Source organism: Homo sapiens, chromosome 11, assembly GCF_000001405.40.
Source record: "Homo sapiens chromosome 11, GRCh38.p14 Primary Assembly".
NCBI classification, from domain to species: Eukaryota; Metazoa; Chordata; class Mammalia; order Primates; family Hominidae; genus Homo; species Homo sapiens.
Window position 1 is genome coordinate 66,115,849 of NC_000011.10, and position 26,479 is coordinate 66,142,327.

General features: G+C 42.4%; 1 protein-coding gene across 3 annotated transcripts in view, besides 7 other annotated features; it reads left to right on the top strand.

Annotated features, from left to right (window-relative positions):
- Positions 1 to 26,479, top strand: part of PACS1 (phosphofurin acidic cluster sorting protein 1) — a 174,473-nt gene that overhangs the window by 45,577 nt on the left and 102,417 nt on the right. The window lies entirely within an intron of this gene.
- Positions 10,944 to 11,003: an enhancer, noted in NCBI's record as "active region_5035". NCBI's record gives its function as "activates an Ori minimal core promoter by ATAC-STARR-seq in GM12878 lymphoblastoid cells {active_cell/tissue: GM12878}" and the evidence as "EXISTENCE:reporter gene assay evidence [ECO:0000049][PMID:35858748]".
- Positions 10,944 to 11,244: a biological region, named in NCBI's record as "Sharpr-MPRA regulatory region 6316".
- Positions 10,950 to 11,244: an enhancer, noted in NCBI's record as "tiled region #6316; HepG2 Activating non-DNase unmatched - State 16:ElonW". NCBI's record gives its function as "activates a minimal TATA promoter and a strong SV40 promoter by Sharpr-MPRA in HepG2 cells {active_cell/tissue: HepG2}" and the evidence as "EXISTENCE:reporter gene assay evidence [ECO:0000049][PMID:27701403]".
- Positions 11,494 to 12,153: an enhancer, noted in NCBI's record as "H3K27ac-H3K4me1 hESC enhancer chr11:65894813-65895472 (GRCh37/hg19 assembly coordinates)". NCBI's record gives its function as "activates a minimal SCP1, AML or CMV promoter by ChIP-STARR-seq in naive H9 embryonic stem cells {active_cell/tissue: H9 hESC(naive)}" and the evidence as "EXISTENCE:reporter gene assay evidence [ECO:0000049][PMID:30033119]".
- Positions 11,604 to 11,663: a silencer, noted in NCBI's record as "silent region_3578". NCBI's record gives its function as "represses an Ori minimal core promoter by ATAC-STARR-seq in GM12878 lymphoblastoid cells {active_cell/tissue: GM12878}" and the evidence as "EXISTENCE:reporter gene assay evidence [ECO:0000049][PMID:35858748]".
- Positions 20,008 to 20,057: a silencer, noted in NCBI's record as "silent region_3579". NCBI's record gives its function as "represses an Ori minimal core promoter by ATAC-STARR-seq in GM12878 lymphoblastoid cells {active_cell/tissue: GM12878}" and the evidence as "EXISTENCE:reporter gene assay evidence [ECO:0000049][PMID:35858748]".
- Positions 23,062 to 23,221: a silencer, noted in NCBI's record as "silent region_3580". NCBI's record gives its function as "represses an Ori minimal core promoter by ATAC-STARR-seq in GM12878 lymphoblastoid cells {active_cell/tissue: GM12878}" and the evidence as "EXISTENCE:reporter gene assay evidence [ECO:0000049][PMID:35858748]".

Consider the following 26,479-nt stretch of genomic DNA (forward strand, 5'->3'; position numbering starts at 1 on the left):
AAGGCGTTGCAGTTGTTAGAGATTATTTTGTTCTCTGGCGGTTTCAGTTATCTTGACTTTAAGCTTTCTTCCTCTTAGACAAATAATATAGGCAGCTGTCATATCTGAGGGTTTTAAATTCTTGTTAACCTTTTAACTTATTGTGATTAAGATGAATTTGAAAAGAAAGCCATTTCCTCTATTTAAGAATTGCCTTGGCAAGAAGTTGGAAATCCTAGAACCTTGTTGCAAAGGAATGTGTCGCTATTTGTTATGAATGAGTCTGGTTGGGTCCAGTGAAACCTTCCTATTGCTAATGTGCAATTAGGTATCTTCAGTGAGGGAGAGACTGTCCTCTAAGCAAAGCAGCTAAAGCTCCAGGGGCAAAGGGCAGAGCGAATAAGCAGGGGCCTGGGTCATCTATTTTGTTCTCTGGCCTGAAAGCATTTGACTGCTCATCTCACATCCCTTCTTTGCCCTCAGTCGTTAGATATTAGGTCTACTGTGGTTGAATGAGACTGTCTACAAAAGGGTTCCAGTGCTCACCAAAAGCTGTTTGTAAATACGAAGTATTACATATTATCTTTCCTAAGGTTGTGAGAACCTAGAAGAACTGCCTTTGATTAATGCTAGAAAACAGCTCTTATGAGACATAAAGTTCATTTAATAATCCCACAAATGCTTACGAGCAACTATTCTATACCAGGCAGTTTTCTAGCTTTTTGGAAATAGAGTGGTGAACAAAATAGATGAACATCTCTGCCTTCATAGAACTTAGATTCTAGCTGGGCACAGTGGCTCACGCCTGTAATCCCAGCACTTTGGCTGAGGCAGGTGGATTACTTGAGCTCAGGAGTTCAAGACCAGCCTGGGCAACATGTTGAAATCACATCTCTACCAAAAATACAAGATATTAGCCAGGCGTGGTGGTGTGTGTCTGTGGTCCCAGCTACTCATAAGACTGGGGTGAGAGGATCACTTGAGCCTGGGAGGTGGAGTTTGCAGTGAGCTAAGATCGTGCAACTGCACTCCAGCCTGGGTGACCAAGTGAGACTCCATCTCAAAAACAAAAAAAAAAACAACTCAGATTCTAGTTGGGGAGACATATACTAAATAAGATAACACAAATAAAGGGCAGTATATAGTGAATTCAGTAGGGACAAATGCTGGGTAGAAAAAACTAAGCAGGGGAAGAAGACAGGAAGTGTCAGGAGTAGTACTGTGGCTTTATTATTATAAATTGTTTCCTTTTAAAAACGATGTGTATTATGCATTAAAGCATTGCTCTGAGAAGGGGTCCTCTGACTTCTCCAGACTGCCAAAGGGACCCTGGCATTGAAAGGGTTAAGGAGGCTGGGCGCAGTGGTTCACACCTGTAATCCCAGCACTTTGGGAGGCCTAGGTGGATAGATCACTTGAGGTCAGGAGTTTGAAGCCAGCCTAGCCAACATGGTGAAATCGTGTCTCTCCTAAAAATACAAACATTAGCTGGGCATGGTGGCGGGCACCTGTAATCCCAGCTACTCAGGAGGCTGAGTCAAGAGAATCGCTTGAACCCAGGAGGAGAGGTTGCAGTGAGCCGAGATCGCACCACTGCACTCTAGACTGGGCAATAAGAGGAAAACTCCATCTCAAAAAAAAAAAAAAGAGAGAAAAGAAAGAAAAAGAAAAGGTTAAGGACCCCTCATTAGAGTTACAAGACCAGCCCTCAACATGTGATTAAAAGATGTTTGTTATGGCCGGGCGTGGTGGCCCATGCCTGTAATCCCAGCACTTTGGGAGGCCGAGGCAGGCGGATCACCTGAGGTCGGGAGTTCGCGACCAGCCTGACCAACATGGAGAAACCCCATCTCTACTAAAAATACAAAATTAGCTGGGCATAGTGGCGCATGCCTGTAATTCCAGCTACTTGGGAGGCTGAGGCAGGAGAATTGCTTGAACCCAGGAGGTGAGGTTGCAGTGAGCCGAGATTGCGCCATTGCACTCCAGCCTGGGCAACAAGAGTGAAATGCCATCTCAAAAAAAAAGAAAAAAAAAAGATGTTTGTTTCCTCTTTGATGCTTTATGTGATAATGATGCGGTAGACTTTCCACATATCTCCCTATTATATCTGGTAATTGTGGCTTTAAATTATTTGAAGCTGTCATTCACTTTTGAGACTAGTGTTTGTAGGATGTTTTTTCCATTTGTGTTCTGTAGAACCCCAGGGTACCCTGAAGCCTTTTTGGCACATGTGGGGGTCATTTTAAACGTATGTTTGGATTATTCATCTACGTTAGTCTAAACAAGTAATCAGATGCCTGGCTTTGAGGTAGGTATAAGTAAAGAGAATAGACTAAGGGGTTGGTGCATATTTATGGAACATAAACAGCATAGATGGTTAACAGATGCTACACACAGGTGAACCACTGATTTAACCTGTTATGTGTATGCCATTGAGCCACTATCAAGACCTTGAGCTGCTACCTAGTGTCTGTATAAAGATAAGAATTTCCAGCCAGGGGCCGGGCGCTGTGGCTCATGCCTATAATCCGGGCACTTTGGGAGGCTGAGGCAGTAGGATTGCTTGAGCCCAGGAGCTCAAGACCACCCTAGGCAACATAAGGAGACCTTGTCTCTGCAAAAAATGAAAATATCAGCCAGATGTGGTTGTGTGCACTGGTAGTCCCAGCTCCTTGGGAGGCTGAGGTGGGAGGATCACTTGAGCCTGGGAAGTCAAGGCTGCAGTGAGCCATGATTGTGCCACTGTACTCCAGCCTGAGTGACAGAGTGAGATCTTGTCTCTAAAATATAAATAAATAAAAAGGATATTTTCTAGGCCAGGCGTGGTAGCTCACGCCTGTAATCCCAGCACTTTGGGAGGCTGAAGTGGACCAATCACCTGAGCTCAGGAGTTTAAGACCAGCCTGGGCTTAGGCAACATGGCGAAACCCCATGTCTACAAAAAAAAAAAAAAAAAAAAAAAGAAAGAAAAAGAAAAAAAGATATTCTGAGCTTATTTTCTCGTTATTTCCTTCTCTCCCTTCCCAAATATTTTTTTGAGCATCTGTGTCAGCTAGGAATACAGAAACTAAAAAACATTGCTTGCCCTTGTGACTGGGGAGATATAGACAATTGAATAATCAACCACAACATGTTATAGTAAGTGCTAAGATAAAGGTAGGCACAAGTGTCAGGGAAAACACAGAAGTGGGATGCCTGAGCTGAGTGGGAGTGGGGGTGGCCCAAGAAGGCTTCCTGAACCAGTGGCACCAGATGGACAAGGGAGAGGCCCCCTACTCCCTGCTTGTCCTCTGCTCTCTTCTGACCGGTAGCGTTAATACTTCTTTGGTTTAATGCAGGATCACCAGACTCTGTGGCCCACGACCTGTTTTTGTGTAGCCCATAAGACATACCTTTCTAAGTACTATAGCTGAAAAACATCAAAAGAGTAGTAATATTTTGTGACATGTGAAAATTATATGAAATTCAAATTTCTGTCTGTAAACCTCACTGGAACACAGCCATGCTCATTCGTTTGTATATGGTCTGTGGCTGCTTTCTCCCTACAACGGTAGAATTGAACAGTTGCATCAGAGACCTTATGGCCTGCTAGGCCAGAAATGTTAAGCCCTTTACAGAGAAAGCTTGCTGGCTCCTGTTTAATGCTTTAACTGCCCTACTGAAAGGCAGGAGGTTGAAAAAATGATGGTAGTCAAAAGGAATGCATGAAATCCTGTTGTCTTCTGTTAGCTGATTGCAAGTAGTACACAGGATATATTTGAGACATCTCTTTTCCTATCTCCCACCAAAGGATAATTCAGGCGGATCTCAGTGCACAGGCACAGGCATTTGCCTCATTCTTGTTTTGTCTGTTTTGAATTTAGTTATGGGAATATTTTAATATCTCTCAAAAATAGGGTATCTGGTGTGAGTCAGAATGATTATAGAACATGCTTGCCTGGAGAACAGGAAATGCGGGATCCACTCCTGGTGTGCTGTTAGCTGAAGGACGTCAGAACTGTCCTTTAACCTCCCTGCAGGTCTCTAAATGGTAGGATTGTTTGGGGATTACACTAGATCATCTCTAGGCACCGTTCAGCTCAGTAGAGACATTGCTGCATGGTGGAAGGAGTGACCTCAGTGTGAATCCTGGTTCTGTCCCTTTCTGCCCAGGAGACCTTGAGCAGCTTATCTAAATGCTGTGTGCCTTTGTTAGCTCATCTGAAAATGTGGCTGTAAGAATGACCTCATGAGAATGGACTGAGATCATATTCTTAAAACTCTTGGCACTAATAGGTATTTAATCTACTATAACTGTGAAAATTATGTCTGTGAACTCTTTTTTTTTTTTTTTTTGAGACAGAGTCTCGCTCTGTTGCCCAGGCTGGAGTGCAGTGGCACGATCTCGGCTCACTGCAACCTCTGCCCCCTGTGTGCCACCACTCTCGGCTAATTTTTGTATTTTTAGTAGAGATGGGGTTTCACCATTATTGGCCAGGCTGTTCTTGAACTCCTGACCTCAAGTGATCCACCTGTCTTGGCCTCCCAAAGTGCTAGGGTTACAGGCGTGAGCCACTGGACCCAGCCTGAATACTAATTATATACTTCATTTTAATCAAACTCAATTTGTGAAATAGCTGGATTTAGGATTTGCTTAATGAAAGAGATATGACGTTCCTTTAAAAGCCAGCTTTTCTACTAGAATCAACATTATTTGAATTACATGCAATTATATGAGATCATATCAATGCATAGGAAGCTAGACATGTATTAGATTGTGGTTAAGGGCATACGCTTTGGAGCCATATAATATAGCTGTGGTTCAAAGCCTGGCTTTGCCATTTACTTACTAGCTGTGTATGATCTTGGCCTTCCATTTCCTCCTGGGAATGATAATAATACTTGCTGTGAAGATTAAATGAAATTACCCATGTGAAATGCTTAGCATGGTACCTAAGTAGTGCCACTCTAAAGTTTCATGGCCTCCTACTCTCTGGACACATACCTATCCTCTGTCTGCTAGAACTCCTCACTTCCCTGTTCTCCTAACTTACTTATCCTTCAGAGCCCAGTTCAAGGGACGTCTTCATGAAGTCCCCCTTGCCCCAGCCCTGTGCTTCCACAGGGCCTGTGCACGCCTCTCTCTGCTTCCCACTGTGTGCGGGCCCTACCTCCTCCTTTTATTGTGCTTCACTTTCTTGTGCTTCACAGATGCTGCATTTTTTACAGATTGAAGATTTGTGGCAACCCTACGTTGAGTAAGTCTGTCGGCACTGTTTTTCTAATAGCATGTGCTTACTTTGTATCTCTGTGTCACATTTTGGTAATTCTTGCAGTATTTAAAATTTTTTTATTATTGTGTTGGTTACGGTGATCAGTGGTCTTTGATGCTGCTGTCGTGATTGTTTTGGGGTGCCATGAACCGCATCCGTGCGAGACGTTAGACGTAATTGATAATGTTGGCATGTGCTCTGACTGCCCCACTGACTGGCCATTCCCCCATCTCTCTTCCTCTCCTCAGGCCTCCCTATTTCATGAGATACAGTATTGAAATTAGGTCAATTAATAACCCTACAATGGCTTTTAAATGTTCAAGTGAAAGGAAGAGTTACGTGTCTCTCACTTTAAATCAAAAGCTAGGAATGATTAAGCTTAGTAAGGAAGGAATATTGAAAGCCAAGACAGGCTAAAAACCAGGCATATTGAAAGCCAAGACAGGCTAAAAACCAGGCGTCTTGCAGCAGTTAACTAAGTTGTGAATGTAAAAGAAAAGTTCCTGAAGGAAATTAAAAGTGCTACTCCAGTGAACTCCGGAATGCTAAGAAAGCAAAACAACCTTATTGCTGATGTGGAGAAAGTTTCAGTGATCTGGACAGAAGATCAAACCAGCCACAACATTCCCTTAAGCCTAAGCTTGATTCAGTGCAAGATCCTGACTCTCTTCAATTTTATGAAGGCTCAGAGAGGTGAGGAAGCTGCAGGAGAAAAGTTTGAAGCTAGCAGAGGTTGGTTCATGAGTTTTAAGTAAAAAAGCAACATAAAAATGCAGGGTGAAGCAGCAAGTGCTGATGCAGAAGCTGTAGCAAGTAATCCAGAAGATATAGCTAAGGTGGCTAGATGATGAAATGAAGGTGGCTACACTAAACAACAGATTTTCAGTGGAGATGAAAGAGTGTTCTGTTGGAAGAAGATGCCATCTAGGACTTTCATAGCTAGAGAGGAGAAGTTAGTGTCTGGCTTCAACATTTCAGAGGACAGGCTGACTCTCTTGTTAGGGGTGAATGCAGCTGGTGACTTTAAGTTGAAGCCAATGCTCATTGACTATTCTGAAAATTCTAGAGCCCTTAAAAATTATGCTCAATCTACTCTGCCTGTGCTCTATAAATGGAACAAAAAAGCCTGGATGACAGCATATCTATTTAGAGCATGGTTTACTGAATATTTAAGCCCACTGTTGAGACCTGCTCAGAAGAAAAGATTCTTTTCAAAATATTACTGCTCATTGACAGTGCACCTGGTCACCCAAAATTCAGATGGAGATGTACAAAGAAATTAATGTTGTTTTCATGCCTGTTAACCACAACATCCATGCAGCAGCCCATGGATAAAGGAATATTTTCAGTTTTCAAGTGTTATTAGTTAAGAAACATTTTGTAAGGTTATAGCTGCCATAGGTAGTGATTCCTTTCATGGATCTGGGCAAAGTAAATTTAAAACCTTCTGGAAGGGATTCACCATTTTAGATGCCATTAAGAACATTTGTGGTTCATGGGAGGAGGTCAAAGTATCAACATCAACAGGAGTTTGAAAGAAGTCGATTTCGACTCATGGATGATTTCAAGGTGCTCACGACTTCAGTGGAGGAAATAACTGCAAAAGTGGGGGAAATGGCAAGAGAACTAGAATTAGAAGTGGGGTCTGAGGATATGACTGAATTGCTGTAATCTCGAGATAAAATTTGAACAGATGTTTCTTGTGGATGAGCAGAGAAAGTGGTTTCTTGAGATGGGACCTACTCCTGGTAAAGATGCTGTGAACACTGTTGAAATGATAATGTATTACAATAATTTATAACAATAACTATGTATTACATAAACTTAGTGATAAAGCAGCAGTAAGGTTTGAGAGAACTGAATCCAATTTTGCGAGAAATTCTGCTGTGGGTAGCATGCTATCAAATGTATTGCATACTTTAGAGAAATCTTTAATGAAAGGAAGAGTCAGTGTGACAAACTTCATTGTCTTATTTTAAGAAATTGTCACAGATACCCCAACCTTTAGCAGTCACCATCCTGATCAGTCAGCAGCCATCAACATTGAGGCAAGACCCTCCACCAGGAGAAAGATTGCAACTTGCAGAGGGCTCAGAAAATTGTTAGCTTTTTTTTTTTTTTTTTAATGAGACGGAGTCTTGCTTGGTTGCCCGGGCTAGAGTGCAGTAGCATGGTCTTGGCTCACTGCAACCTCCGCCTTCTGGGTTCAAGCAATTCTCCTGTCTCAGCCTCCCAAGTAGCTAGGATTATAGGCACGTGCCACCATGTCCAGCTAATTTTTGTATTTTTAGTAGAGACAGGGTTTTGCCATGTTGGCCAGGCTAGTCTTGAACTCCTGACCTAAGGTGATCCACCTGCCTCGGCCTCCCAAAATGCTGGGATTATAGGCGTGAGCCACCACGCCTGGCTCAATAAGCCATTTTTATTTTTTTATTTTATTTATTTATTTATTTTTTTGGGACAGAGTTTCGCTCTGTCGCCCAGGCTAGAGTGCTGTGGCGTGATCTCGGCTCACTGCAAGCTCCACCTACCGGGTTCATGCCATTCTCCTGCCTCAGCCTCCCAAGTAGCTGGGACTATAGGCACCTGCCACCGCGCCCGGCTAATTTTTGTTGTTTTTAGTAGAGGTGGGGTTTCACCGTGTTAGCCAGGATGATCTCGATCTCCTGACCTCGTGATCCACCCACCTCAGCCTCCCAAAGTGCTGGGATTACAGGCGTGAGCCACCGCACCCAGCCCATTTTTAAATTAAAGTATATACTTTTTTTTTTTTTAAGACAATGCTATTGCACAGTTGATAGACTACTGTATAGTGTAAACATAACTTTTATATGCACCGGGAAATAAATAATTTCATGTCACTTGCGTTATTGCAGTGGTCTGGAACTAAAGCCACAATATCTCCAAGGAACTGTTTACTTGCTGTCTCGCTATCAGACTGTGAGACTGTCAAGGGCAGGCATTCTGCGCAGCTTTGGCAATACCGTCTAGTTGTAAAAAAGACGGAACTGTTTCAGGCCATGGGCATTCTAGTGGGAAGACAAATATTTAATCTCAAGTGTGCAAAATGCTGCCATAGAACAGGAGTGCAGTGGAGCATAATAGGAGCTCTGGACCTTGTCTGAACACATAAAAGAAGCCTTTTTCCTAAGGAGTGATTGCTTAAGTTGAAACCTGAAGGATGTGTGGGAATTAGCTAAGTGAAGAGAAGGAAGAGTTCCAGGCAGAGAAAACTGTGGACATAATGGCTTTGGGCAAGTTACTCAGCTTCTTCTCTGCTTCAGTGTCTTCATCTATAAAATGGGAATAATATAACCTAGAGTTATATAGTTAGGGTTGTTGTGATCATAAAGACAGTATTTTAAGTCATCATCTTCTAATATTTCTGAAGTGGGGCATAATTGGTTCATTCAGGATAACTTCTGGGTCCACGTTTATGTATTGAATGGCTAAATGTATGGATCTGCTTACTGCACTTTAACCTTGTTCTTTACCTGCTCTGAAGCCTTTCTTGCATTTTAATGACAAGAACGGTGTATTTTGCCTTTCAGTGAGTTTGTTAATTATGGAGATCAAACTCTGCCTTTCATTACTGCATAAGTCTCATGGTGTGTCAGACATCTTAGGTCAGTGTGTGTCATCAGTTAGAATGCTTTCACCTTCAAGAAACAGAAAAGCCAGCTCAATGACTTAAACACACAGATGTTTATCATTTCAGAAAACAAAAGTCTGGGGCAAGGGTGAGTCCAGTGCTGGTTAACTGAGCAGCCTGGCAAAGGCATCAAGGAGCCAAGTTCATTTTGCCCTCCTGCTTTGTCATCCTCAGTACAGGCTTGCCCGCTGGCTCCCCATGGTCTCAGGTGGCCTGTCGCAGTTCCAGGTGCCACAGGGAGACACCAGAACATCCCATTGAGGAGGAGGAACTGTTTCTTTCCATGTCTGTCTCTTTATTGATGAACATTTGGGTGGCTTCCACCTTTTGTCCATTGTGAATAATGCTGCTATGAACATTGGTGAACAATAAATTCTTTTTAAAAATACAGCATCTAGGGGCTAAGCTATGAGGATGCAGAGGCATAAGAATGATACAATGGACTTTGGGGACTCGGGTGAAAGGGCAGGAGGCAGGTGAGGGATAAAATACTGCAAATTGGGTACAGTGTATACTGCTTGGGTGTTGGGTGCACCAAAATCTCAAAAACCTACGGAAATAAAAAATTAAAGTACCACATCAATTAATGCGTAGACCAAATCTTATTGCAATTAAATTTCTACTTTTAGCATCATTTGCTACAATGAAGTTCTAGTATTTGAAATATTTTGAGCCACTGACTTGCTGTTTAATGGGATTTGATCCCATAGTAAAGAAGATATAAACCAAGTAAGTCAAAAGGATCTTAGAAGCAATTTTATTCCATCCTCTATTTTGAAGATGTTCTGGATTCAGAGTGATTTTCCAGGGTCAGAGAGCTAAGTCATGTTAAATAATTCAAAGTGTATGAAAATACACATTACTCACAGATTCAAGTAGAGTAACCAGGGGTGTCTTTTGCCTCTAGTCTTACTCTAACCAGTGTCTAACTATGCCTGTGTAGATAAAATAAAATAGAAAACTGGGATAATTCAGGTATTCAAGTAATTGAAGAAAATCAGTCCTGTTTAAAATATCTGGGCAGGCCGGGCATGGTGGCTCATGCCTGTAATCCCAGCACTTTGGGAGGCCGAGGCAGGCAGATTACTTGAGGTCGGGAGTTCAAGACCAGCCTGGCCAACATGGTGAAACCTCGTCTCTACTAAAAATACAAAAATTAGTCATGCATGGCGGCGCATGCCTGTAATCCCAGCTACTCGGGAGGCTGAGGCAGGAGAATTGCTTGAGTCCAGGGAGCAGAGGTTACAGTGAGCCGAGATTGTACCATTGCACTCTAGCCTGGGTGACAGAGCAAGACTCTGCCTCAAAAAAAAAAAAAAAAAAATGTGGGCAACTCTAATACTTAGCTTTTAGGTATTTGCTTCAGTAGTCCACTTTATGTGTTAGTGTTCGACATTACTAGTGGGATTTTGCTTCTCATGCTCTATTTTCTGATTTCTATCACCAGTGGTTTCATAGTTGTATACAGTAATCTCTGGTTAGAGACAGAGGCAGTGGCCTGCTGGGGAACACACCAGACGGAAAGTGAGAGTTCCTTGTTTTGGGCTTTACTTTGCCCTTGACTTCCAGTAATCAGGGTGTTTCCTTGTTCTGAAACACGCTTGTGTTAGTCACAACAGGTTCACAACTGGCAGACAGGTAATCCCTGAACAAGTAAATCCCAGTGGAACCAGAAAACTGGGTCTTGTTTTCCTTAATTGGAACCTGACTTAGAATCAGCTATTGAACTGGGAAACAAACAAAAAATAAGTGTTAGCCATTAGAAAATGAATTTAAATTACTGGTCTGTCCCTATTTAGAATTTCTTGCAATCATTTCCACTGTATGTAACACTGAAATCCTTTGTGGTTGTCTGCTGCAAAAGTGAATCTTTGACCCAGCAACTTTAAATGCTTTTGACACCATTGGGAATTTTGAGAATTGTTAATTTAATCTGCACTTGTCCTAGGTGGGGGTGGGGATGAGGGAGAAGTGATGTCCTTTTGCATTGGCAGTTATGCTGTTTGTAAGCAGAGGCTTGTGCTTCTGGAACTTATGTTTACTAGGGAGTGATTATTAGCATAATAAGTATCATATTCTAGCTTTTATTTCTGGAGGCAGTAAAGAGCCAGCCAAGCAGAGAGAAGAGTGGGAGGTGACTGGCAGCAAGGGCCTCGTCGCTATTAGTGCAACACTGCTGCGGGTGGAGGAGCTTTTCATCAAAGCAGGAAGAAGGGGAGGCCTTTTCTGCCTATGACTCCAACTTCCCTGCATGCCACGTCTTTGCAGGCCTGCAGTGAGGTTAGGATGTAAACGACTTTCTTTTCTTTCCCATCCCAAGCTCATCATGGGTTCTCTCTAACTGATTCTTGTTCTCTTAGTAATTATTTAGCTGTCAAGCAGGGACTTGTCCTGACAAGGAGAACGGGAAGGCCCTCTGGTTCCTGTCTACACAATGTCTGTAGTCCCTTCTCTCAAAGACTCAGTGTTGAGACTCACATGTCTCCCCGAAGGGAAGGAGGAGGCATTCAAGTAGAAACACATTTACGTCAACAGGTTTTCTGAACCCCCGGTGAATTTTGAGTTCTTAGTGCAACCTTCCCCTGCTTCACCGTTCCTGTTTCTTCTCTGTGCCTCTGTTTTCCGGTTGGGGAAGTGGAAAGGATCCTGACTCTGGAGGAAAGTGGAGAAGAACCAGTGGGCCCGACTGCATCAAGAGCCTCCCCTTAGCAGAGAACCGCCTGGTCCTCCTCACTCATACGTGCTGTCTGTGTGCAGGGTGCTCATGGGAGATGTTGAAGAGGTGTAAGAAGGCTTCTTCTCTGTGTAACTGGGGAGCAAGACATGCACACAAAGACAAGTGCATCAGGGTACGTTCAGTGTGTAACTTAAAATAAGCGACAGACATAGTGTGGTGGGCAGAACTGTGTGTATTTCAGACAGCGGCTCAAGGACTGCTTGTCTCTTTGTAGGAACACTGTAGGCCAGAATCAGTCTGTTAAATGGGAGTTGATGTCCTGTGACACTTTTCTAGATTAAATCGTCCTAATACTCTACAATAAATGCTTTTGTTTTTAGTTACTTGAGGGAAAAGATGGTATTTTTCAAAAAGTGAGACAGAAAAAGGCATATGGGACATTGTATGTATGTCCTGGTATGTGTGCACACCACCACCTGTGAAGCAGCCTTGCTGCTAAAGTAGACCCCGAGTTTGATAAAACGCCTAGATCTTACTGTGTATTTATAGGAAATACGAGGGATGGAGAAACATTGTAAATGGCTTTTTGGGGATAGAATCAGCAAATTCCAAACTGCATTATAGGATAAACAGAACAGTTTTTTCAACAAATAAATCATAAGGGGAAAAGGTGAGAAAAAAGCCTCTATAGATAAAAAGAGATTGAAGAGATGAATGAACCAATAGTCATATATGATTGATTCAGACAAAATGAAGAAAATGTGAGGCAATCTGGGAAATGTGGACACTGACTGATTATTTGATGGTATTAATGGTATTAAGAAGTTTATTTTATAAAACAAACCAAAAAAGACAAGAGGAAATTTATCTTATATTGAATATTGACAACAAATAATTAAATTTAAAAAATTTGTTAGTTAAGTGTGAAAATTGTGGATACATTTTAAAAGAATATCCTTTAAAGAGACATACATATTGAAATATTTACATATGAAAAGAAATGCTGTCTGTGATTTGCTTCAGAATAGCCCAGGCAAGGGAGTAGGTGGGAGAATCACTGACACAGGACTGGTTATGCATTAAACATCGTTGAAGCTGGGTGTTGGGCAAACTAGGCTCATTCTACTGTTCTACTGTGTATATGTTTGAAAATTTTAGAATTAAATTTTAAAATTTAACAAGTGAGTGAGGGCTGGGCACAGTGGCTCATGCCTGTAATCCCAGCACTTTGGGAGGCTGAGGAGGGTGGATCACCTGAGGTTAGGAGTTCGAGACCAGCCTGGCCAACATGGGGAAACCCTGTCTGTACTAAAATTACAAAAATTAGCCAGGCGTAGTGACATGCGCCTGTAATCTCAGCTACTTAAGAGGCTGAGGCAGGAGAATCACTTGAACCCGTGAGGCGGAGGTTGCAGTGAGCCGAGATCGTGCCACTGTACTCCATCCTGGGCAACAGAGCCGGACTCCATCTCAAAAAAAAAAAAAAATGTGAGTGAGATATCTTGACAAAAGACGGAGTAGTGGTTGCCTGGAGCCTGGGTAAAGGGGTGGCGTGGCTGCAGAGGGGCACAAGGGATCTTTTGGGGTGATGGGAATGATCTGCGTCTTGGCTATGATGGTGATTTCATGGGTACGTACATTTAAACTAATCAAACTGTTCATTTAAATGTGTGTATTTTATTGTATGTAAATTATACTGTAATGTCAATTTAAAAATTGATTAAAGTTAGTAAGAAGGGGCCAGGTGTGGTGGCTCATGCCTGTAATCCCAGCACTTGGGGAGGCCGAGGTGGACAGATCACCTGAAGTCAGGAGTTCAAAACCAGCCTGACCAAGATGGTGAAACCCTGTCTCTACTGAAAATACAACAATTAGCCAGGTGTGGTGGCGCGCACTTGTAATCCCAGCTACTTAGGAAGTTGAGGCAGGAGAATCACTTGTACCTGGAAGGTGGAGGTGGCAGTGAGCTGAGATCGCACCACTGCACTCCAGGCTGGGTGACAGAGCAAGACTCCATATCAAAAAAAAAAAAGGGTTTAAAAAATATTATTATTATTATTATTATTATTATTATTATTAAAATAGAGACGGGGCCTAACTATATTGCCCAGGCTGGTCTCGAACTCCTGGGCTCAAGTGATCCACCCTCAGCCTCCCAAAGTGTTGGGATAATGGTGTGAGCCACTGTGCTTGGCCAGTAAGAAGGGTTTTTGTGTATTATACACATAGTGTGGAATCAGTAGTGTCAGAAGTGTGAGGCACCCAGCACTGCCAGGCAGCAGGGATTACCTGGCTTGTGCTGCATCTTTATTTTTCCCTTCACCTCAAGTTAACTTTATCGTTCATATTTCTGATTTTGCAGTAGTGTCTCTAATTTCTCCTTGCAGCTGTAGAGTCAGCTTGAATTTTGTGATGTTTGTCCATGTGTCTGCCATCCAAAAGGACATGCATTTTTATGCTAGAATAAATGATGTTAGGAGGACATCTACCCATTTATGATAATTCTTTAAACATTCAATTGGCTACATTATAATAGTCAAGCACTAAGGGTACACCTGAGCTGAAAACAATTCAGCTGGATTATAATTTTGATTTATTTTCCATCCAGTCTACCAACCAACCAACCAGTCAGCCAGTCAGCATTTATTGAATGTATTCTTTGCACCATCCCCCGAGTTGGGTTTTGGGTGCATGAGGATGAATATGATACAGTCCTGCCCTTAAGGATGTAACTTTCAGGGTGAGAAGATAGCTGTGTATATGTATAATTTCAGCAGCATGACAAATGCCATGGTCAAAGTGGGTGCAAGATGCAATATAGTAGGCCGCATTTATACATGTTGGCCTCCTCCCTCCCTCCCCTCTAGCCCCCTTCCTTACCTGGTAAGTCAAATGAACCAAATGTCAAACAGTTTGGAAAGGAGAGTTGAAGCAGAAGGAAACTTCCTTCTGCCCCTTTGAATTTGTTACTTTTTCTTCCAATTAAAAATGTGTTATTTTTACAATACCATTATATTGACATTGCAAGGGTCCCTGATGTTTTTATTGTTTTCTGTTGTCACTTTGTATCTCTTCTCCCATTCCCATCCCACTCCCATTAGCATCTTCTCTGATGTGTTTAATATGTATCCTTGGATATATATGTATTCTTACATGGTGTTTTCTGTAAATTTATATAAATAGTATTACATGATAATTCTCATTCTGATCCTTTCTTCATTTAAAACTATGTTTTTCAGTTCTGTTGGTGTTGTGTTTATATGGTGCTTTTAGCCACTGCATTGTATTTTTATTGCTCTGTCTACTGCGTTTTATTTGCCTGTTCCCCTAAGTGACAGACACCTTATTTGTTCTCCCTGTACCACAAACAATGCTCTGTGGGTATAGTGGCTCACACTTATAGTCTCAGAACTTTGGGGAGGCTGAGGCAGAAGGATCGCTTGAGCCCAGGAGTTCGAGACCAACCCGGGCAATGTGACAAAAACCTCATCTCTGCCAGAAATTAAAAACTTAGTTGAGCACAGTGGCATGTGCCTGTGGTCCCAGCTACTTGAGAGACTGGGGTGGGAGGATCGCTTGAGCCCAGGACGTTCAGGCTGCAGTGAGCCTTGATTGTGCCACCACTGCACTCCAGCCTGGGCAACAGAGTGAGACTGTCTCAAAAAAAAAGATAAAACTAAATAAATTAATAAGAAGATCCTCATATATGTCTTCTTACGAACTTGTACAAGAGTTTCTCTGGCTAAATACCAACAAGTATCATTGTTGGGTCACAGAGTATAATCATATTTAATTTCACTAAGTAATGCATGATTGCTTAATTTGTATTTCCACTACTAAGTGCAGTCCTTAGTATTTGACTTTAAAACTTTTGTGAGTTTGGCAGGTTTCACATGTTATTAATATCTTTTTAAACTCACATTTCTCTGATTACTAATGAGCATGGCTAGATTTCTGTATATACTGGGTAGTCTTTGGATTTTCCTTTTATGAATGACCTGGTCATATCATTTTCCCATTTTTCCAGTAGAGTTTCTTATATATTGTAGCTATTAATCCTAAGGCAGTTATAAATGTTTCAGATGTCTTCTTCTGTCCCTCATCTACCTGCTAACTTTGTTTGTGGTGTCCTTTATTCAGCAGAAATCTTTTGTTTTAATTTAGACATTTCCTTTGGTTTTTCCATTTATAAAGATTTGTGCTTTTTGATGTCTTACTTAAGAAATCTTTTCTGGGCCAGGCGTGGTGGCTCATGACTGTAATCCCAGCACTTTGGGAGGCCAAGGTGGAAGGATTGCTTGAAGCCAGGAGTTCGAGACCAGCCTGGGCAACATAGCAAGACTCCATCTCTATGTAAAAAAAAAAGGCATTATCCTGTATTTTCTTCTAATTAGGTTTATATGTGTCTCAAATTTACATCTCCAGTTTGATTTTTTCTCTGATCTCTAAATTTGTATACTCACTGTCTACCTGATAGCCCCACCTAAATATCTAACAGATATCTCAAACTTAGCATTGCTAAAACTTATTTTATCCCTTCCTCATTAAAAAAAAAAAATCTGTTCCTCTCCCAATCTTTATTCATCTAAGTACACTTGTCCCTTGGTATCTCTGGGGGATTGGTTCCACGAGCAGCCCTCCACAATGGATACTGATATAGGTTAGCTGTGTGTCCCCACTCAAATCTCATCTTGAATTGTAATCCCTGAGTGTTAAGGGAGGAACCTGATGGCAAGTGACTGGATTATGGGGGCGGTTTCTTCCATGCTGTTCTTGTGACAGTGAATGAATTCTCACAAGATCTGATGGTTTTATAAATGGTGCTTTTTTCCTGCGCTCTCACACACCTCTGTCTCCTGCCACCATGTGAGACAGTCCATGCTTGCTTCCCCTTCACGATGATTGTGAGTTTCCTGAGGCCTCCCCTACCTTGTGGAACTGCGAGTCAATTAAAACCCTTTCCTTTATAAATTACCCAGTCTCATGTAGTATCTTTATAGCAGTGTGAAAACGGATTAATACAGATACCAAAATCCACAGATGCTTAAGTTCCTTATATAGTGACACTGTATTTGCATATAACCTACACACATCCTCCCTCGTACTTTAATCTCTTGAATACTTATAATAGTTAATACAATGTAAATGCTATGTAAATTGTTGTTATACTGTATTATTTAGGGAATAAACAAGAAAAAAAAAGTCTGTACATGTTCAGTATAGATGCAACCAGCCTTTTTTTCCCCCTAAATATACATATAGGTACATACTTCTTGAGATGGAGTTTTACTCTCTTGCCCAGGCTAGAGTGCAGTGGTGGGATCTCTGCTCACTGCAACCTCCGCCTCCCAGGTTCAAGCAATTCTCATGCCTTAGTCTGCTGATTAGCTGGGATTACAGGCACATGCCACCACGCCCAGCTAATTTTGTATTTTTAGTAGAGACGGAGTTTCACCATGTTGGCCAGGCTGGTCTCGAACTCGTGACCTCAAGTGATCTCCCTGCCTTGGCCTCCCAAAGTGCTGGGATTACAGAAGTGAGCCATGGCACCTGGCTTTTTTCCTAAATATTTTTGATCCATGGATATGGAACCTGTGGGTACAGAGGGCCGACTGTAAATGGTGCTGCCTTCCACCCTGTTGCTCAAGCCAAAAACCCCGGAGTCATCTTTGCTTCTTTTTCATGCTCTGTGTGTGCAATCTATCAGCAAGTTCTATACATTCTGACTCCAGAAAATTTCTGGAATCTGTCCTGGGCACTTTATGGCCTCCTGCTGCTACTCTAACCCGTGTCACCTGTCTTCGTATAGCCATTATTACTCTGCTTTGCAGAGTTTATTTGTTGCATTTATTCATTAAAGACTCTCACCTCAGCTTTATAGCTAGTTTTGCAAGATAGAGCACTAGGTCTGGCTAGCCATATGCTGCCAGATGGAGGAGCTGAGTTTTTTTCCTATGTTCTGCTCCTTGGCTTCACTAGTGGCTGCTGGAGGCATCACTGTGCACAGATGCTTGGGGCAAAGGATCTTGCCAACCTCGATGCAGGTCACTGGAACAGCTGATAATGTCCGTGGTTTATAACCTGATGTAGATCCAGAGATGTCATTGAAAGATTTTTGCCTGCCAGCAGGTCTGAGTCTGAAGACCATGCCCAGGCTGGGGTGGCGCTATCATAGCTCACTGCAGCCTCCGATTCCTGTGTTCAAGCTGTCCTCCAGGGTAGCAGGAACTATAGGCACACACCACTACACCCAGCTAACTTTTCAATTTTTTTGTAGAGATGGAGTTCCACATCTGTCGGTCAGACTGGTCTGAAACTTCTGGCCTCAAGCGATCCTCCTATCTCAACCCCCCAAAGTGCTGGGATTACAGGTGTGAGCCACTGCGCCCAGCCAGACTTTTTTGTTAAATGTACCTTAAAGCAATGCTTTCTTCTTTTTTTTCCCATCACAAATTTAATTATTTATAAAAATATCTAATGGAAAGAAACTGGATTAGCAAGCCAGACAGATACTTGTCCTGGCTAAGTGTGATACTGGGCAAGTTGTTGACTTCCTTCTTCAGATGCCTGTGATATATACCCCATGTTTATTCTAATTTCTTAAAGATATGAGAACCTAGCTCTAACATAAGCATGAAATGCCTATTCCTGAGGCATTGATCACATTGTCATTGTTCCAGGTTCCTCTCTGTGCTCCCTGAAATCCCCATTAGCGTAATTCCCCACCATCCCCTTGTGCGGAGTCCACTGCCCCACTGTGCTGCTGCCCTCGACTGTTGTGAGGCCGGCTGAGTTTCAGTAACAGGGACTCGGTGATTAAATTTCTTTTTCTTTTTCTTTTTCTTTTTTTTTTTTTTTTTTTTTTTTTGAGACGGAGTCTCGCTCTGTCCCCCAAGCTGGAGTGCAGTGGAGCAATCTCGCTCGGCTCACTGCAACCTCTGCCTCCCAGGTTCAAGTGATTCTTGTGCCTCAGCCTCCCTAGTAGCTGGGACCTACAGGTGCCTGCCACTACACCTGGCTAGGTGATGAAATTTCTTCAGCTTTCTCTGGCCCTCCCTACTTCTAGGATCCAAATGACACGCTACGTATCGTTGCCATTTCTGATTTGGATGTACAAATATAGGGACAGATGGGTTTGTGTTTGTTTTTGATGTATTTTTTTTTCTCTCTTAATCTGGCTGTAAAAGCATTTCCAATGGCTTATAGTTTAGTATGTGTTCCCAAAGTGGGAGCAGCCTGTACATATGGAAGTCCAGTTGGGTAGGGCTCCCTGTACCCTGGCGCCAGGGCGTTGTTCTGACCGATGGTGCCCCCTGATGGCCAGTGTAGAAACTTGGTCACGGTGTCATCTTTTTCTCACTATCACTGGGGATTCCCTTCACTCCCCAGCAATTACTCACTTTTATTCTGTCTTGAATCTTAGATAATTATGCCGGAGATAATCCTTCTTATCTCCTCTTTGGGTTTCTTGTTTCTTCCTTATTTATTGCTCTCTTACCTCAAAAATATCTTATTTCAGCCAAGTGCAGTGGCTCACGCCTGTAATCCCAGCATTTTGGGAGGCTGAGGTAGGTGGATCACCTGAGGTCAGGAGTTCGAGACCAGCCTGGCCATCATGGTGAAACCCTGTCTCTACTAAAAATACAAAAATTAGCCAGGTGTGGTGCTACTCCAGCTACTTGGGAGTCTGAGGCAGGAGGATGGCTTGAACCCGGGATGTGGAGGTTGCAGTGAGCTGAGGTCACATCGCTGCACTCCAGCCTGGGCAATAGAGATAGACTCCATCTCAAAAAAAAAAATCTTATTTCTTCTCACCACTCATTCTTTTCATTATATTTTGAACTAAAAGCTTGTCCTGGTAATGGCTAAAGAGTACTTAGTGGTGTGTCCATATCAAAAAGAAAGGAAGCCCTTGATTTTGAAGAGAAATTAGAAGCCACGCTAAGGACTCATGGTTGCCATCTTCACGAGCTCTGAGATAGGTAAGGCACGCCCTTCAGAATCTTTATGGGTTTTTGTTAGCTCCTCAGCTTTCTCCAACTAAAATTGCTTTGGCTTAAGCTTTAGAACTCAAGATAAATGAAAGTTCTTCATTTTAACTTTAGTTGATAAATTACTAGTATTACAGAGCGATTTTCTGTGTGGAAAACATGCCAGCACTGTCACCCAGACACACTGTGCACAGGTTCAGCATGTACCATGGCTGCCTGAGGCCTGCCCTCATCCCTGCTGGCCTCCTCTCCTGCGCTTTTTTTTTTTTTTTGAGACAGAGCCTTGCTCTGTCACCCAGGCTAGAGTGCAGTGGTGCAATCTCAACTCAGTGCAACCTCCACCTCCTGGGTTCAAGCAATTCTTCTGTCTCAGCCTCCCGAGTAGCTGGGATTACAGGTGCCTACCACCATGCCTGGCTAATTTTTGTATTTTTAGTAGAGACGGGGTTTCACCATGTTGGCCAGGCTGGTCTCGAACTCCTGACCTCAAGTGATCCACCCCACTTGGCCTCCCAAAGTGCTGGGATTACAGGCGTGAGCCACTACACCCAGCCTCCTGCGCTCCTCTTAACGTGGTTTCAGATTCTGCCCACGTGCCTTCCAGACTAGCTTCTGAAACACTGTCCACCTGTCAGTTGAATTATTGAGCTACTGATTTGTCTGTGACTTTTAGCTCATAATTGGACTGTCGTAAATGACGTAGATACGTAAGTACGTCCTACGGGTTATGTGGCTATGCTGCTGAGACCTCACACTCAACCCTCCAGCACTAATTCACTCTCTTTCAAAATTGTGCTGTTGCTTTCAGTGTTTGGGGAGCCCAGGAGAGGAATGTGAAACAGGACTGCCCAATCCCGCTAACACACACACACACACACACACACGCCAAGAATGTGAAACAGGACTGCCCAATCCCACTGTCACACACACACACACACACACACACACACACCAAAAACCAAAACAAACCAAAATATTCCTGAGTGCAGGAGTTATGATTTAACAAAACCTTCATATCCTCTAACATCCCCACTCCAGAGAACACCCTACTTAGAATAAAAAGCTAGGAGTGATGAGCACCATGGCTTTCAGTCTTTATGGAGCTGTGATAGCCCATCATTATTTGATTTATTCTCCTATCTTTTCCAGAGCGGATGTAGTCTTTGAATAGAATTGCATAATTTTAGGGTTTTAAGCACCCTCAGTAATCGTGCAGTTTAGTTTCCCATCTCATGCCTTCCAAAAAACTTCATACAAGTTGACCCTCATCTAGCCTTGGCCCGAGTGCTTCCACTGAACAAGAATTCAGCAGTTTTTTAAGCAGGCCCATTCCATTGTATGGACTGCCCGAATTATTAATAAGTTCTCTATGTTCGGCTAAAACTTAACTCATGGGAATTTCCACCCTAAGTCCTGATTTAACCATTTGTAGAAATGAATGACTCAGTTTTTTCACTCCCACAGAAGTGGTCTTCAGCTATTGGAGGACAGTGCCCGGCCTCCGTAGGCTCTCCAGCCTCAGCATTGCCCACTTTTCTCTTGGCTTGTTGGGCTTTTTTCTTCTTGATTTTTGGGGATTTTTGAAAATAGCCCTATGTCTTGGATATGAGTCACAAATTGCCCCCCCCCCCACCATTTCGTCATTTGTCTCCAAGCTCTGTTTACATTGGTGTTTGCCGTGCAGAAGTTTTTCTTTAATGTAATAAAATGTAGCCATCTTTTTTAAAATGACCTCTGGACTTCATGTGTTTGGAGTTTATTCATACTTAGAAAGGCCTTGTCCACTTGAGGCTGTTTAAAAAATACCCATATTTTCTGCTAGTACTTAAATGGATTTGTGTGAGTGTGTGTGTTTGTGTTTGTGTGTGTGTGTGTGTACTTAAATCTTTTATGCATCTAGAATTTATTTTAAGATAAGATGTGAGGTAGGGGTTCAAATTAATTTTTTTCCAGCTAGCTGTCTAGTTACTCCAACATTATTGAATTACTCATTTTTTCCTGTTTTGAAATGCCATTATATTAAATTCATGACACACTTTTGGATTTATTCCTAGAGTGTTTCATATGTTTTATTTCCAAGCAAACCACCACACACATCTTATACCTTCATTACTGAAATTTTTAACCTAAATGTAAAACTTGTTATGTGCTTACCTGGCATCCAGCCGGTCAGGATGGTCTGACTCTGCTCCTTCCTGCCTCAGCAGCCTCCTCTTTTGTGCCACCTGCAGGTTAATAAGCATCTCTTATGTCATTATCCAGGCCATTGACCAAGGGGTGACAATAATATTGGCCATTGTAGGGCTGTCCTTTGGACTCCAGTGGAGAGCCATTACTCACTGTTTCCTATTTTAGAAATGCAGCATGATAGGTTAAAAAGTGCTTAGGGTTTTGGTTTCAGTTGCAGAACTAAATTTGAGCATCCCTTCTATTCATTGTTTCTCAGACTTTAATGTGAACAGGAATAACCTGAGAATCTTGTTAAAATGCAAATTCTTTTTTTATTTTTAGTAGAGACGGGGTTTCACCATGTTGGCCAGGCTGGTCTTGAACTCCTGACCTCAGGTGATCCACCTGCCTTGGGCTTCTAGAATGCTGGTATTACAGACATGAGCCACAGCACCCAGCATAAAATGCAAATTCTGATTCAGTAGGTCTGGGGTAGGCCAAGATTTTGCCCCGTTTATTTATTTATTTATTTATTTATTGGACAGTATCACACTCTGTCACTCAGGCTAGAGTGCAGTGGCCTGATCATGGCTCACTGCAGCCTCAAACTCATGGACTGAAGTGATGCTCCTGCCTCAGCCTTCTTAGTAGATAGGACTGTAGACTTCTGCCACCATGCCCAGGTAATTAAAAAAAATTTTTTTACAGAGATGGGAGTCTTGCCATATTACCTGGGCTGGTATTGAAATCCTGTCCCCAAGCAACCACCCAAAGTGGGATTACAGGGTGAGCTATGGTGCCCAGACGGCTTTTGCATTTTTAATAAGTCCCCAGGCCATGCTGATGCTGATGGTCCATGGACTACCCTATACTTTGCAGGACCAAGACTAGAGTGAGTCAAGTGACATGCCCCACGAAGTGTGTGAGGAGGCACTTACTGTCTTGGCACTTGCACAAACCTGAGAGCAAGCACTTCTTTAAGTTTTGTACCCTGGGTCCCTTGCTTGCCTCACCCTAATCCCAGCCCTGATATTGTGTTTCTTATTATTGTTAGGCTTACTGCTGATGAAGCTACTAAATAGGACTCTTGAGAGGTGAGCTCTTGCTGTCTGCACTTTTTTTTTTTTTCGAGACAAAGTCTTGCTCTGTCGCCCAAGCTGGAGTGCAGTGGCGCGATCTTGGCTCACTGCAACCTCCGCCTCCCGGGTTCAAGTGATTCTCCTGCCTCAGCCTCCCGAGTAGCTGGGACTACAGACATGCGCCACCACGCCCAGCTAATTTTTGTATTTTTAGTAGAGACAGGGTTTCACCATGTTGGCCAGGATGGTCTCGATATCTTGACCTCATGATCCGCCCGCCTCAGCCTCCCAAAGTGCTGGGATTACAGGTGTGAGCCACTGTGCCTGGCCGCTGTCTGTATTTTTAAACAGGTTCCCCAGGCGACCCTTAGGCACACCAAAGTTTGAGAACCACTGAAAAAGAGAAGTTCTGACTTTTAGGATTAATTTACAGCCTGTTATGAAACCAGTGCTTGCAACCTGAAAACATCATGCTACTGTTTACCTTTAGTTTTCATGATGTGCTTGAGATAGTGGTGGCTAAGCCCGAAATATATAAATTTTTAATTTTCATGTTTGTGGGTACATAGTGGGTGTATATATTTATGGGTTGCATTTGTTTTGATACAGGCAGGCAATGCATAATAATCACATGAGGGTAAGTGGGGTGTCCAACTCAAGCATTTATCCTTTGTGTTACAGACAATCCAGTTATACTTTTTAGTTACTTTAAAATGTATAATTAAATTATTTTGTACTATAGTCACCCTGTTGTGCTAGCAAATATTAGGTCTTATTCATGCTTTGTAACTTTTTTTTTTAATCCATTAGCCCTCCCCACTTCCCTCCCATCCACCCCCCTAACCCCACCACTACCCTTCCCAGCCTGTGGTAACCATCCTTCTACTCTTTGTCTCCATGAGTTTAATTGTATTAATTTTTAGCTCTCACAAGTAAGTGAGAACATGTGAAGTTTGTCTTGCTGTGCCTGGCTTATTTTATTTAACATAATGATCTAGTTCCATCCATGTTTCATCCATCCATCCAAAGGATCACATTCTTTTTTGTGGCCAAATAGTACTCCATTGTATATATATGTACTGCATTTATTTATCCATTCATCTGTTGATAGACACTTGCTTTCAAATCTTGCCTACTGTGAATAGTGCTGCAGTAAACATGGGAATGCAGAGACCTCTTTTCTATACTGATTTCCTTTATTTGGGGTATATACCTAGCAATGGGATTGCTGGATTGTAAGGTAGCTCTGTTTTTATTTTTGGAGGAACCTCCAAACTGTTCTCCATAGTGGTTGTAAAGTTGCAAATATTGACAGTAGTTACTCAAGTGGTGCCAAACTACAGGAGAAGGCCTACTTGTATTTGGCAAAACCAACCTTTACCCACGTACTGAATCTGATAACGTGGCTTTTGCTCAAAATCCAACTCTGATGTGGTAAAAACCTTAATTGAAAGTGGACCATAGCTCAGTGCTTCTCAAACTCTAATGCGGGTAAGAATGTTCTGGGTGTCTCGTTAAAATGCAGATTCTGATTCAGCTGGCCTGGGGTGGGACCTATAAGTCTGCATTTCTGACAAGCTTTTAGAGGGTGCTGAAGCTTTAGCTCTACAGCTGTGCTTGCAAACCGAGGAGATTTTTGACTGAGCTCTAGTTCGGAACTTTTTCCTAACATATGAGAGTTTTGGTTAGGAATGTTTGGAGAAGTTATTCATGGATTTTACTTCAGCAGACAGGGAAAGATGCTTTGTATCCGCGTGACCTGCCTTGCTCACAAAAGCCAGTGATGGATTCCCAACCGTGGACCTCCCAGACTCAGGCATGACTTGTAACTTGTACTCTGCCGTCACGGTGCATGGCTGAGAGAGGGATGCCCACTGGGTAGAACACTTTGTTTCGTTTTTTTAAATGTGTGAATAGGCAATACATTTACAAGGTTCAAAATTCAAAAGATATAGAAGGAGATACACAGCGAGTAGTGTCCTCCCCTTAATTCCCCATCTGCTCAGTTCCCAATTTTCCTCACCCCTCCAACCCTGCCAAATTAGTAAAAGTACTTTATTAGTTTCTTGTGCATCTTTCCAACTATTTTTATGTAATACAAGCAAACATAAATTTATTTATATATAATTATATATAGTGTCTCTTTCTCACCTTAAAACAAATTAATGTTAACATACTATGGACATTGTTCTGCACCTTGATTTTGTTTTTTCATGAAAAAATTAATCTTGGAGATCTTTCCACATGTCCACATGAAGAGCTTTTTTTGGTTTTCTTTCTTATTGGTATCTTATTGTATGGATCTACCATACATATCGTGGTATCTTATTGTATGGTTCTACCATAATTTAACTAGAAACTTATTTACTGATGGACTTCAGATTGTTTCCAATTTCTTGCTGTTAAAATGCAAAGAATAAATTCACATTTGTATATTTTATGTACATTACACATTTTGTTTTCTTTTATTCAGCAATGTTCTATTTTATGAAGTCTTAAAATTTTATGTATCTTGAACTTTTTGTATGTTTAATGAAATATTACTTTTATATCTTTAAGTTCTCCTTTGATGAGTTTGGAATGCTTTTTCACATTCCTAATGTTATTAACACAGAACAGATTAAATATATTTATATGCATTTTTCCTTTTTTTTCCCCAGAGACAGGGTCTCGCCGTGTGGCCCAGGCTAGAGTGCAGTGGTGCAATGAAAGCTCATTGTAGGCCAGGCACTGTTGCTTACCCCTGTAATCCCAGCAGTTTCAGATACCAAGGCGGGCGGATCACCTGAGATCAGGAGTTTGAGGCCAGCCTGACCAACATGGTAGAACCCCATCTCTACTAAAAATATAAAAATTAGGCGGGCATGGTGGTGGGTGCCTGTAGTCCTGGCCACTCAGGTAGCTGAGGCAGGAGAATCACTTGAACCCAGGAGGCGGAGGCTACAGTGAGCCGAGATCACACCACTGTACTCTAGCCTGGGCAACAGAATGAGACTCCATCTCAAAAAAAAAAAAAAAATGCTCATTGTAACCTCAGACTTCTGGGCTCCAGTGATCCTGGTGCCTCAGCCTCCTACGTAATGGGCCCTACAGGTATGTGCCACCACACCTAGCTATTTTTTGTTGTTTTTTGTAGAGATGCAGTTGTTTTTTGTTTGTTTTGTTTTGTTTTTTGAGACGGAATCTCACTTTGTCACCCAGAATGGAGTGCAGTGGCACATCTCAGCTCACGGCAGCCTCTGTCTCCCGGGTTCAAGCGATTCTCCTGCCTCAGCCTCCTGAGTAGCTGGGATTATAGGCGCCCACCACCACACCCAGCTAATTTTTGTATTTTTAGTAGAGACGGGGTTTCACCATTGTTGGCCTCTGGGCTGGTCTCAAACTCCTGACCTCAAGAGATCTGCCTGCCTTAGCCTCCGAAAGTGCTGGGATTACAGGCATGAGTCACCGCTCCCGGCCAGAGATGCAGTTTTGATATGTTGTCCAGGCTGCTCTCCTGGGCTCAACTGATCCTCTTGCCCCGGCTCCCAGAGTGCTGGGATTATGGACATTGTTCTGTACCAATGTGTGCTGGGTGTGCAGTCACTGCCCAGCTGGGCTGCATATATTTTTTCCAAAACCCAGGTAAAATGTGTTCATCGCTTAAGAATCAGCATTTTTTAATTTTAATTTTTATT